Source organism: Homo sapiens, chromosome 9 (assembly GCF_000001405.40).
Source record: "Homo sapiens chromosome 9, GRCh38.p14 Primary Assembly".
Lineage (NCBI taxonomy): Eukaryota > Metazoa > Chordata > Mammalia > Primates > Hominidae > Homo > Homo sapiens.
The window spans coordinates 128,972,812-128,984,815 of NC_000009.12; the positions used below are offsets into that span (position 1 = coordinate 128,972,812).

Below are 12,004 nucleotides of genomic sequence, written 5' to 3' on the forward strand. Positions count from 1 at the left end.
GTTGGCTTATCTTGGTGGCCATTCAGGTGCTATATCAATTCCCATTACCACATGCAGACTGTTTACTGTAGGCTGGATATGGTTTTCTTTTTCCCCACACAAACTTTGATGATTTTGGCAATAATTCCCTTCTGATTTTATTCTTGACTTTGTTGTAATATTTGTGGTTCCTGCTTTCTCTTTTCTCCCTTGGTCTTCCTGATCTTGTAACTAAATTAGGAAAATTATGAAGCTTCAGATTTCCTTCCCATTTGTTTACAAAGAATATATGAATGCGATAGGATTATGCCGAACCTGGGGAAGAGTTGTATTACTCAGAATGATTCACTGACTCCTTTGTCATTCCAGTGCACCACCAGCACTGCATGCATGTGTGTCTATGGACTGCTCTCTTTCGTTCTGACCTCGTTGGAGCTGCACACCCTGGGCAATCAGCAGGTCAGTGTCTGGCTTTCATGAAGCTGTCTCTACTGCCCAGCTTTGCAATCAAGTCCCAAAAATATACCCCCATTGGATCTGATATTATTTACCTCATGTGTTAATTTGTTTACTGGCACTCATTTTTTTATTTACTTTTTTCTTTTTTTTTGAGATGGAGTCCTGCTCTGTCCCCCAGGCTGGAGTGTGGTGGCACGATCTTGGCTCACTGCAGCGTCCGCCTCCTGGGTTCGAGCGATTCTCCTGTCTCAGTCTCCTAAGTAGCTGGAATTACAGGCGTCCGCCACCTTGCCCAGTTAATTTCTGTATTTTTGGTAGAGACGGGCTTTCACCATGTCGACCAGGCTGGTCTTAAACTCCTGACATCAGGCGATCCGCCTGCCTCGGCCTCCCAAAGTGCTGGGATAACAGGCATGAGCCACTGCACCCGGCCTTGTCTTCATTTACTGTTATATAGGTGATAAATGTTAATTGTAGAAAAAACAGAAAATGCTGTAAAAAGAAAAAAGTATAGTCCTATCACATAGATAACTTGATAACATTTTGATGTATTCCCTTCCATTTTCCAAATACGTATATACATGAAAATATAGTAATTCTTCTCTAGAAATTGAACAACAATGGATTTACTATTTTTAAAATTTCTGTTTATTTATTTATTTATGCATTTATTTTTTTTGAGGCGGAGTCTTGCTCTGTTGCTCAGGCTAGAGTGCAGTGACGCGATCTCGGCTCACTGCAACCTCTGCCTCCTGGGTTCAAGCGATTCTTCTGCCTCAGCCTCTTAAATAGCTGGGATTAGAGGTGCCTGCCACCGCGCCCGGCTAATTTTTTTATTTTTGGTAGAGACGGGGTTTCACCATCTTGGCCAGCTGGTCCCAAACTCCTGACCTCGTGATCCACCTGCCTTGGCTTCCCAAAATGCTGGGATTACAGGTGTGAGCCACTGCACCTGGCCCTGTTTGTTTATTTTTTAAGAAACCAGGTCTCAGTATATTGCCCAGGCTGGTCTCAAACTCCAGGACTTCTCACCTCGGCTTCCCAAATATATACCGTTTTGTAACCTCATTTTTTTTACTCTGTAGTACATCTGTCCCAGACATTTGTTGGTGCTAGTAAGTCTTCTGCAGCAGGTTGTTGTTTTTTTTTTTTTTTTTTTTGAGACAGGGTCTCACTGTGTTGCCCAGGCTGGTCTTGAACTCCTGGGCTTAAGCTGTCCATCCCTGTCAGCCTCCCACAGTGCTGGGATTACAGGTGTGAGCTATGGCACCTAGCCTAAAATGTTTTTTAAGATGAAACATTTCAAACTTATACCAGAGAAGACAAAATTACATAATGAACCCCATGAGCCCATCACCAGCTTCTACCAGTTATCATCTCATGGATAATCCTTTTTCTGCCCCTTCCCTCCTTGATTATTTCAAAGCAAATGTCAGATACTATTTAACTTAATCTACAGACATTTCAACAAAACTTAACATTACAACCGTTATCACACAAAAGCCCCCCAGAAAACATTGTCTCTTTTTTTTTTTTTTTGGAGACAGGCTGGAGTGCAGAATACAGTGGCGCGATCTCGTCCCACTTCAACCTGCACCCCCTGGGCTTAGATGATCCATTCACCTTAACCTCCTGAGTAGCTGGGACTACAGGCGTGTGCCACCATGCTCAGCTAATTTTTGTGTTTTTCTTGAAGAGATGGAGTTTTGCCATGTTGGCCAGGCTGGTCCCGAACTCCTGACCTCAGGTGATCCCACTGCCTCCACCTCCCAGAGTGCTGGGATTATAGGTGTGAGCCACTATGCCTGGCTGAAGTTATTTTTTTTATGCTCAGTCCCATATTTGGCCTGTAACAGCTTTCTAAATCTGTTTGACACTACCCTTATATATTTTGATAGCTCTGTTGCTTTCTTGTCTTTTTTATTTTCTCCGTTGCTTACTTTTTAAATTTAATTAATTAATTTCTTTTTCTTTTCCTTTTTTTTTTTTTTTTTGAGACGGAGTCTTGCCCTTGTCCAGGCTGGAGTGCGGTGGCATGATCTTGGCTCACTGCAAGCTCTGCCTCCTGAGTTCATGCCATTCTCCTGCCTCAGCCTCCCGAGTAGCTGGGACAACAGGCGCCTGCCACCATGCCTGGCTTTTTTTTGTATTTTTAGTAGAGATGGGGTTTCACCGTGTTAGCCAGGATGATCTCGATTTCCTGACCTCGTGATCCGCCCGCCTCAGCCTCCCAAAGTGCTAGGATTACAGGCGTGAGCCACCGCGCCTGGCCTTATTTATTTTTCTTTAAGACGGAGTCTCGCTCTGTCGCCCAGGCTGGAGAGTAAGTAGCGTGATCTCCACTCACTTCAAGTCTGCCTCCTGGGTTCAAGCAATTCTCCTGCCTCAGTCTCCTGAGTAACTGAGTTTACAGGTGTACGCCACCACGTCTGGCGAATTTTTGTATTTTCAGTAGACGGGGTTTTGCCATGTTGGCCAGGCTGGCCTCAAACTCCTGACCTCAAGTGATCCGCCTGCCTCAGCCTCCCAAAGTGCTGGGATTACAGGCATTAGCCACTGCACCAGGCCTATGTTTATTTTTTATTGTTTTGAAACGGAGTCTCACTCTGTCGCCCAGGCTGGAGTACAGTGGCGTGATTTCAGATCGCTGCAAACTCTTGTCTCCTGGGTTCAAGTGATTTTCCTGCCTCATCCCCTTGAGTAGCTGGGATTACAGGTGTGCGCCACCATGTCTGGCTAGTTTTTGTAATTTTAGTAGAGACAGTGTTTCCCCTTGTTGGCCAGGCTGATCTCAAACTACTGACCTCAAGTGATCTGCCTGCCTTGGCCTGTCAGAGTGCTTGGGTTATAGGTGTGAGCCACTGTGCCTTGCCTCTTTTCTCTGTTGCTTTCTGGTACAAGATGTTACAGGATTATCTTGTAAGATTCTTGTGTAAGACCTGAAATCTGCTTATTCTAATAGCCTTGGTTATTTTTAGTGGGAAATGATATTTGATGAGTATCCTGAAAACTAAATCACTCTGTTCATTTTTAGTGACTAGGAACTTGTTTTGTAAATTGACTAACTTGGTGAAAATTAAAATTTTTTATCATTAGAGAGAAATGAGTTTGTGTTGAATTGAAAGACTCAATTTCTAGAGGCTGGGTGTGGTGGCTTACTCCTGTAATCCCAGCACTTTGGGAGACCAAAGAGGGCAGATCATCTGAGGTCAGGAGTTTGAGATTAGCCTGGCCAACATGGTGAAACCCCATCTTTACTAAAAATACAAAAATTAGCTGGACATGGTGGCAGGCGCCTGTAATCCCAGCTACTTGGGAGGCTGAGGCAGGAGAATTGCTTGAACCCGGGGGGCGGAGGTTGCAGTGAGCTGAGACTGTGACATTGCACTCCAGCCTGGGCAACAAGAGCAAAACTTTGTCTCCAAAAAAAAAAAAGACTCAATTTCTAAAGGTCATGGGCATAGAACAAGGTTTGTGTACTTTGGGAGAATTCTGGTTACTTTTGACCTGACCTTACACCTGGAGGATTGGTATTAACATATTAGGGCCAAGCACTGTGGCCCACACCTGTAATCCCAGCACTTTCCGAGGCCAAGGTGGGTAGAACACCTGAGCTCAGGAGTTCAGGACCAGCCTGGGCAACATGATGAAGCCCTGTCTCTACCAAAAATACAAAAAGTTAACTGAGTGTGGTGGCGCGCACGTGTAGTCCCAGCTACTCAGGAGGCTGAGGTAGGATCACTTGCCTGGGAGACACAGGTTTCAGTGTGCTGAGATGGCGTCGCTGCACTCCAACCTGGGAGACAGAGTGAGACCCCATCTCAACAACAACCAAAAAAACAGAGTTGCAGGAGTCCTGGTACTTGGATTTTTTTTTTTTTTTTTTTTTAGACGGAGTCTCGCTCTGTCACCCAGGCTGGAGTGCAGTGGCGCGATCTCGGCTCACTGCAAGCTCCGCCTCCCGTGTTCACGCCATTCTCCTGCCTCAGCCTCCCCAGCAGCAGGGACTACAGGCGCCCGCCGCCATACCCAGCTAATTTTTTTGTATTTTTAGTAGAGACGGGTTTCACCATGGTAGCCAGGATGGTCTCGATCTCCTGACCTTGTGATCTGCCTGCCTCGGCCTCCCAAAGTGTTGGCATTATAGGCATGAGCCACCGTGCCCGACCAGGTACTTGGATTTTAAAGAAATCATTCAGTGAGCATTTATTAGATTCCCTGTGTATGCTAAGCTCTGTGCTAAGCGCTAAGGATAAAACAATTAAAGACATTGTTCTTGGCCAGGCACAGTGGCTCATGTCTGTAATCCCAGCACTTTGGGAGGCCAAGGCAGGCGGGCCACCTGAGGTCAGGAGTTTGAGACCAGCCCAGCCAACATGGTGAAACTAAAATGGCAGAGATGAGCTGGGCGTGGTGGTGGGCACCTATAATCCCAGTTACTCGGGATGCTGAGGCAGGAGAATTGCTTAAACCGGGGAGGCGGAGGTTGCAGTGAGCCGAGATTGTGCTATTACACTCCAGTCTGGGTGAAAGACCGAAACTTCATCTAAAAAAAAGAAAGACATTGTTTTTGCCCTCTAGGAGAGCAGTTTAGCTGAGCCTAGTAATAACTTACATTTATGTGGCATTTTTGAATTTACAGTCTACTTCCTCATACATTATCTCATTTAATCCTTATTTATAATCCTTACTTATAATCCTACTTTGAAGCAGAAATTACTGTCCCCATTTTACAGATAAAGCATTTCTGGCTCAGAGAGATGAATTTGTCTAACATTGTACAGCAGACACAACACACCCTGGACAGGATATAATCTTACTTTTTAAACCCAGAGTTCTTGGCTGGGCATGGTGGTACACTTCTGTAACCCAGTGCTTTGGGAGGCGGAGGCGAGAAGATCACTTAAACCCAGGAGTTAAAGGCTGCAGTGAGCTATGATGGTGCCACTGCACTCCAGTCTTGGCAACAGAGCAAGACCCTGTCTCTAAAAATAGATAACATACCTACTTACATACTTATATACAAAAACGGTAAAAAGAGGCTGGTCTCACACCTGTAATCCCAGCACTTTGGGAGGCTGAGGCGGGCGGATCACGAGGTCAGGAGATCGAGACCATCCTGGCTAACATGGTGAAACCCCGTCTCTACTAAAAATACAAAAAATTAGCTGGGCGTGGTGGCAGGCGCCTGTAGTCCCAGCTACTCAGGAGGCTGAGGCAGGAGAATGGCGTGAACCTGGGAGGCGGAGCTTGCAGTGAGCCAAGATCGCGCCACTGCACTCCAGCCTGGGCGACAGAGTGAGACTCAAAAAAAAAAAAAAAAAAAAAAAGGTAAAAAGGAAGAAACAAACCCACTCACCCAGAATTCTTGCACTCTAGTCTGGGTGATAGAGCATGACCTTGTCTTTAAATATAAATAAATAAATAAGTCAACCAACCCATCCACCCTTAAGCAGTTTTTTTGTTTGTTTGTTTTTTGAGACAGAGCCTCACTTTGTTGCCCAGGCTAGAGTACAGTGGCATGATCTCGGCTCACTGCTACCTCCATTGCCTGGGTTCAAGTGATTCTCATGCCTCAGCCACTCAAGTAGCTGGGATTATAAGGTGTGCGCCACCACACCTGGCTAACTTTCGTATTTTTAGTAGACATGGGGTTTCACCATGTTGGCCAGGCTGGTCTCGAACTCCTGACCTCAAGTGATCTGCCGGCCTTGCCTCCCAAAGTGTTAGGATTATAGGGGTGGCCCCCACACCCAGCCAACCAACCAATTCTTAACCAGTTTTTTCTGACTTTCTATATTAAGGTGTTTATTTTATTTTATTTATTTATTTGTTTTCAAGAAGAGGATTTACTATGTTCCCCAGGCTGCTCTGGAACTCCTGGATTGAAGTGGTCTTCCCACTTTAGTGTTTATTGGTGTTTTGGTGTTTTTATTTCAACAGAATACAATAATAAAGATAGACTGGTTCAGCTAGGGAAAATGATCCATTTTTCTTCCCTTCCTCAAACAGGATATAATTGATACAGCATGTGAAGTATTGGCCGACCCTTCTCTTCCGGAACTGTTCTGGGGAACAGTAAGTATGTCAGAGAGAGTCACTGCATAGCAAAAGAATTGTTCAAACACTTGTTTTCTTACAGGTTTTGTACTAAGCATTCATGTGCATTTTCTCATTTAATCTTCATAAAAACGTATGAAGTAGATACTATTACTGTCCCTCTTTTAATGTGATGACACATGACACTTAGAGATGTGAAGTGATTTGCTCAAAGTCACACATAGAAAGAGGCAGCCAGAACCCAGTTCTGTCTGACTTGAGTCTGCAGCCCACGTTATTACCAGTGTGCTGTCTCCAGCCCACCAGGTTTTTTTTTTTGTTTTGGTTTTGTCTTGTTTTTTGAGATGGAGTCTTGCTCTGTTGCCCAGGCTGGAGTGCAATGGCGCGATCTCGGCTCACTGCAACCTCTGCCTCCCGGGTTCAAGCAGTTCTCCTGCCTCAGCCTCCCAAGTAGCTGGGATTACAGGCGCCCGCCACCATGCCTGGCTAATTTTTTGTATTTCTAGTAGAGACGGGGTTTCACTATGTTGGCCAGGCTGGTCTCGATCTCCTGACCTCGTGATCTGCCAGCCTCGGCCTCCCAAAGTGCTGGGGTTACAGGCGTGAGCCACTGAGCCCGGCCTTCCAACCCACCAGTTTTTTGTTTTTATATATGGCAGTGTTTTAGACACCAGTGTTCCTGCAGCTCTTGAAAGTGCTTTTAGGAGATTGTAACCGTAGCCTATGAGTTGTCAGGGTATTGTAACTAGTTAGAGTGAGAATTTGGCTTTGAAAAGAACAATTTCTCACCAGTACTTGCTCTGAGCATTGACAACAGTCTCAAACCTCAAGATCCAACTGATGATCTACCTGTGTATTTTACCCTCTTTTTTGTAAGATGCTGTCTGATGTTATAGAACCACAGTGCTCCTGGGAGAAGGAGAAGCTGGTATGAAACAGTATCTAGAGTGAGGATCTGTGGTTGCTGTGTGGTAGCCAACTGCTGACATAGTTGGGTAATTTGCACTTTAGTGGAAACATGTAATGCACAGGTGAACAATACTGTCTTCCCATAGAAAGGATGGCTGGGAAGAGGTCACTGGATAGAATAGTAATCTTTTTTTAGGTCCCTCACTAAATCAATTATTTTATATCCTTTTTCAGTGGAAATATGAAAGTCTTAAATTATTAAGGAGGGATGATATCTGTCTAAAAGGAAGGATTAATTCTAAATTTTCTCATGATTGCTGGGAAATTTGGAGAGATGTTAATTTGTGGATAATGTGAAGATCAGTGATTTGTCCCCTTCCACCACAGGAGCCAACTTCTGGCCTTGGGATCATTCTGGACAGTGTGTGTGGAATGTTTCCCCACCTTCTCTCCCCACTCCTGCAACTGCTCCGAGCCCTGGTATCAGGGAAGTCCACAGCCAAAAAGGTAAGTTGCTTAGTCAGATAAGTAAAGAGAATGGGAGATTCTTTATGGAGACTTTATTAGGAATCTTTTTTGCTTTCCACATTGCAGTTCTACTGCCATGACAAAAGTTTGTCTGAAGGTGAATGAAAGATACCAAAGATAGCACCTCAATTCTAAAAAATTAAATAATCTTTTCATTAAGTACCTATTGTAGATACTGTGGGACTAAGACTAAGTATAAAGTTCCTTAATATCTAGTTGGAAGTTACTAGATATAAGAAATAAATAGCTAAGAGCCAGGTGGTACAGAGTAAATGTCATTTGAGCAATAAAGACCATACTGTTCAGGAGAGATAACTGCCCTTGTGGAGTGATGGGGACTTGAGTTGAGTGTTAAAGCCCAGTGAAGATTTGGCGAGGGGCGCAGAAGGCAGTTCCAAGAACAGTCACAGTGGTGGGCTTGCAAGAAGTTTGAGAGTCTGGTTGAAAGAGCAGACTGTGGGACCTCTCCTTGCTTATCCTGGAGGGAAATGTGTGATGGTTTTTTCTGTTTTGGCAGGTGTATAGCTTCTTGGATAAGATGTCTTTCTACAATGAACTTTATAAACACAAGCCTCATGATGTGATCTCCCATGAAGATGGAACTCTTTGGCGGAGACAAACACCCAAACTCCTTTATCCCCTTGGTGAGATAAAGAGATCCCCCTTTTATGACAGCTTTTTTTTTTTTTGATGTCTTGCTCTGTCACCCAAGCTGGAGTGCAGTGGCAAGATCATAGCTCACTGCAGCCTCAAATTCTTGGGCTCAAGTGATTCTCCCACCTTAGCCTCCCAAAGCACTGGGATTATAGACGTGAGCCAATGCATCCAGGCAGTTACACTCTGAGGCTCACATCTGTACCAGGTGCTCAAAGAGGAAAATATACAGGGAATAGCCTCACCGTTTTAATCCTGGCATCATCACCACTGACTTCTCCAGTCATCTAGGCACTAACAGTCCTATGAGGTACTGTTGTTATCATCATTTGAATGGAAAACTGTTCTTTGCACTCAAGTGATTTTCAGACATATAGAAAGAGTCACTTGTCGGCCAGGTGTAGTGGCTCACGCCTGTAATCCCAACACTGGGATTACAGGCCAAGGTGGGCGGATCACGTGAGGTCGGGAGTTCGAGACCAGCCTGACCAACATGGAGAAACCCCGTCTCTACTAAAAATATAAAATTAGTCGGGCGTGGTGGTGCATGCCTGTAATCCCAGCTACTCGGGAGGCTAAGACAGGAGAATCGTTTGAACTTGGGAGGCAGAGGTTGCAGTGAGTTGAGATCGCGCCATTGCACTCCAGCCTGGGCAGCAAGAGCAAAACTCCATCTCAAAAAAAAAAAGACACTTGTCTACATGACAAGAACTTTTTTGTGTATTTTAGTTGAAAAAGCTTTAGGAATGTTAGCTACTAAGAAGAAAGCCTGTGAATCCCAGAACTTTGGGAGGCCAAGACAGGCAAATCACTTGAAGCCAGGAGCTCAAGACCAGCCTGGTCAACATGGAAAACCCCATCTCTACTAAAAATACAAAAATTAGCCAGGAGTGGTGGTGCGCACCTGTAGTCCCAGCTACTTGGGAGGCTGAAGCACGAGAATCACTTGAACCCAGGAGGTGGAGGTTGCAGCGAGCCGAGATCGCGCCACTGCACTCCAGCCTGGGCAAGAGGGAGACTCTGTCTCAAAAAAAAAAAATGTCTGTGAGTTTGTGTATCTCTGTGTGTTTAAAATATTGATGTCTGGTAGAGGAGTTACATTTTTTATTTATCCTCAGATATTAGACTAATTTATCTTTCTCTCTCAGGGGGTCAAACCAACCTTCGCATACCTCAAGGCACTGTGGGCCAAGTAATGTTGGATGATAGGGCATACCTGGTACGCTGGGAATACTCCTATAGCAGCTGGACCCTCTTTACCTGCGAGATTGAAATGTTGCTTCATGTTGTTTCAACTGCAGGTAAGGTCAGCTTTCGGAAACATCACCTACGAGGAGGAAAAGTGGATATGCTTGGAGGATTTAGAAAATAGAATATCTACATAAAATTTAGAACCATCAAGATTGTGATTTGTCTGATTTGTGTATCTGGGTCTCAGAGACTGTTCAGTGATCTTAAAGGGGTTGTTTGCCGTGAGGTCACAGGCTGTCTTTCTTCTCAGATGTGATTCAGCACTGCCAGCGAGTCAAACCCATCATTGATCTCGTCCATAAGGTCATCAGTACAGACCTGTCGATAGCAGACTGTCTCCTGCCCATCACATCTCGCATCTACATGCTGCTGCAGCGGTGAGTCTGTCTTGGCTGACCCTCAGCTGCCCAGTAGAGATCTCAGCACTTGTGCCCTCAGTTTGCAGGAACCTGGACACATACCCACTGGGTTAAAGTTCGCGCATATTCCTTGGTTTTCCTGTTTTTATATCTGTGAGGGTTTTCCTGTTTTTATATGTCTGCTGAGGGGAGAGACTGGGGAGAGAGAAGTGGAAAAATGTTTGTGAGGGAACCAGTTGTATTATTTGCTTTATTGAGTATAGTGTATTGTTCTCCAACCAGGTTAACGACAGTGATCTCCCCACCTGTGGATGTCATTGCTTCTTGTGTCAACTGCTTAACTGTTTTGGCTGCCCGCAATCCAGCAAAGGTGAGATGCCAGATCTTCCCAAGAGCCAAAAATGTAGCACTTGGCACATACCTGAAGATATGTGGGCATTTAACTCTTCCTTTTCCTTCTCAGGTCTGGACTGATCTTCGTCACACAGGTTTTTTACCATTTGTGGCCCATCCTGTCTCCAGCCTGAGTCAGATGATTAGGTGAGCCAAGTCCTAGGGTGGTGGGCCATATTCCCTAGTGAGAACCACATATGTCTCAGATCTAGCCTAGGTTTATTAATTTTATTTTTATGTATTTGTTTGTTTATTTTTTTGAGATGGAGTCTCACTCTGTTGCCCAGGCTGGAGTGCAGTGGTGCAGCCTCCGCCTCCCATGTTCAAGCAGTTGTTGTGTTTCAGCCTCCCGAGTAGCTGGGATTATAGGCTCGAGCCACCACGCCCAGCTAATTTTTGTATTATTTATGTATTTATTTACTTTTTTTATTTTTTGAGATGGAGTTTCGCTCTGTTACCGAGGCCAGAGTGCAGTGGCACGATCTAAGCTCACTGCAGCCTCTGCCTCCCGGGTTCAAGCAATTCTCCCACCTCAGCCTCCCCGGTAGCCAGGATTACAGATGTGCGGCACCACGCCCGGCTAATTTTTTGTATTTTTAATAGAGACGAGGTCTTACCATGTTGGTCTGACTCGTCTGGAACTCCTGGTCTCAAGTGATCTGCCCGCCTTAGCCTCTCAAAGTGCTGGGATTATAGGCGTGAGCCACCGCGCCTGGCCTGATTTTTTTTTTTTTTTTTTTGAGATGGAGTTGCGCTCTTGTTGCCCCGGCTGGAGTGCAATGGCGTGATCTTGGCTCACCACAACCTCCGCCTCCCAGGTTCAAGTGATTCTCCTGCCTCAGCCTCCCAAGTAGCTGGGATTACAGGCATTCACCACCACGCCCCGGTAATTTTGCATTTTTGGTAGAGATAGTGTTTCACCGTGTTGGCCAGGCTGGTCTCGAACTCCTGACCTCAACTGATCCGCCTGCCTTGGCCTCCCAAAGTGCTGGGATTACAGGCATGAGCCATGGTGCCCGGCCGAGAGCAAGAGAGATTTCTTATCCAACATCAATCACGTTAGTATGTGAGCATTTACTTTCCAGCCCAGAAAATCCAGAGGTTTCTAGATTCAGGGACTTGGTGTCCCGTTATTAAGCCACAATCACTCTGTACTTTTTCTCATTTCATGGGTTCTCGAGCTCAGCCAGTAGACCACTTACCAGTACACAGGCTCCATCTTACTACCTGAGCATTCTCGCCTTGCTGTCTCTTGACAAAAATGTTTCCCTGATGTTCCTTTGATTTTTTTACTTTCAATCTAGGTTTTACATCAATAAAACATGTTCTTAATGTTTACCCTGGGTACAGAACTGTCTTGATTGGATTATTTCCACTGGAGAGCTTTTCTATTTTATATTCAAGTCATCTAG

General features: G+C 45.1%; 1 protein-coding gene across 1 annotated transcript in view; it reads left to right on the top strand.

The window, feature by feature from the left end:
• Positions 1 to 12,004, top strand: part of NUP188 (nucleoporin 188) — a 59,398-nt gene that overhangs the window by 25,113 nt on the left and 22,281 nt on the right. Inside the window, exons 12-19 of the mRNA NM_015354.3 lie at positions 349 to 438; positions 6,451 to 6,516; positions 7,795 to 7,914; positions 8,453 to 8,579; positions 9,738 to 9,890; positions 10,091 to 10,217; positions 10,482 to 10,569; positions 10,663 to 10,739. Of these exons, the coding sequence (NP_056169.1) occupies positions 349 to 438; positions 6,451 to 6,516; positions 7,795 to 7,914; positions 8,453 to 8,579; positions 9,738 to 9,890; positions 10,091 to 10,217; positions 10,482 to 10,569; positions 10,663 to 10,739 (848 nt within the window). The remainder of the gene's footprint in view (positions 1 to 348; positions 439 to 6,450; positions 6,517 to 7,794; positions 7,915 to 8,452; positions 8,580 to 9,737; positions 9,891 to 10,090; positions 10,218 to 10,481; positions 10,570 to 10,662; positions 10,740 to 12,004) is intronic.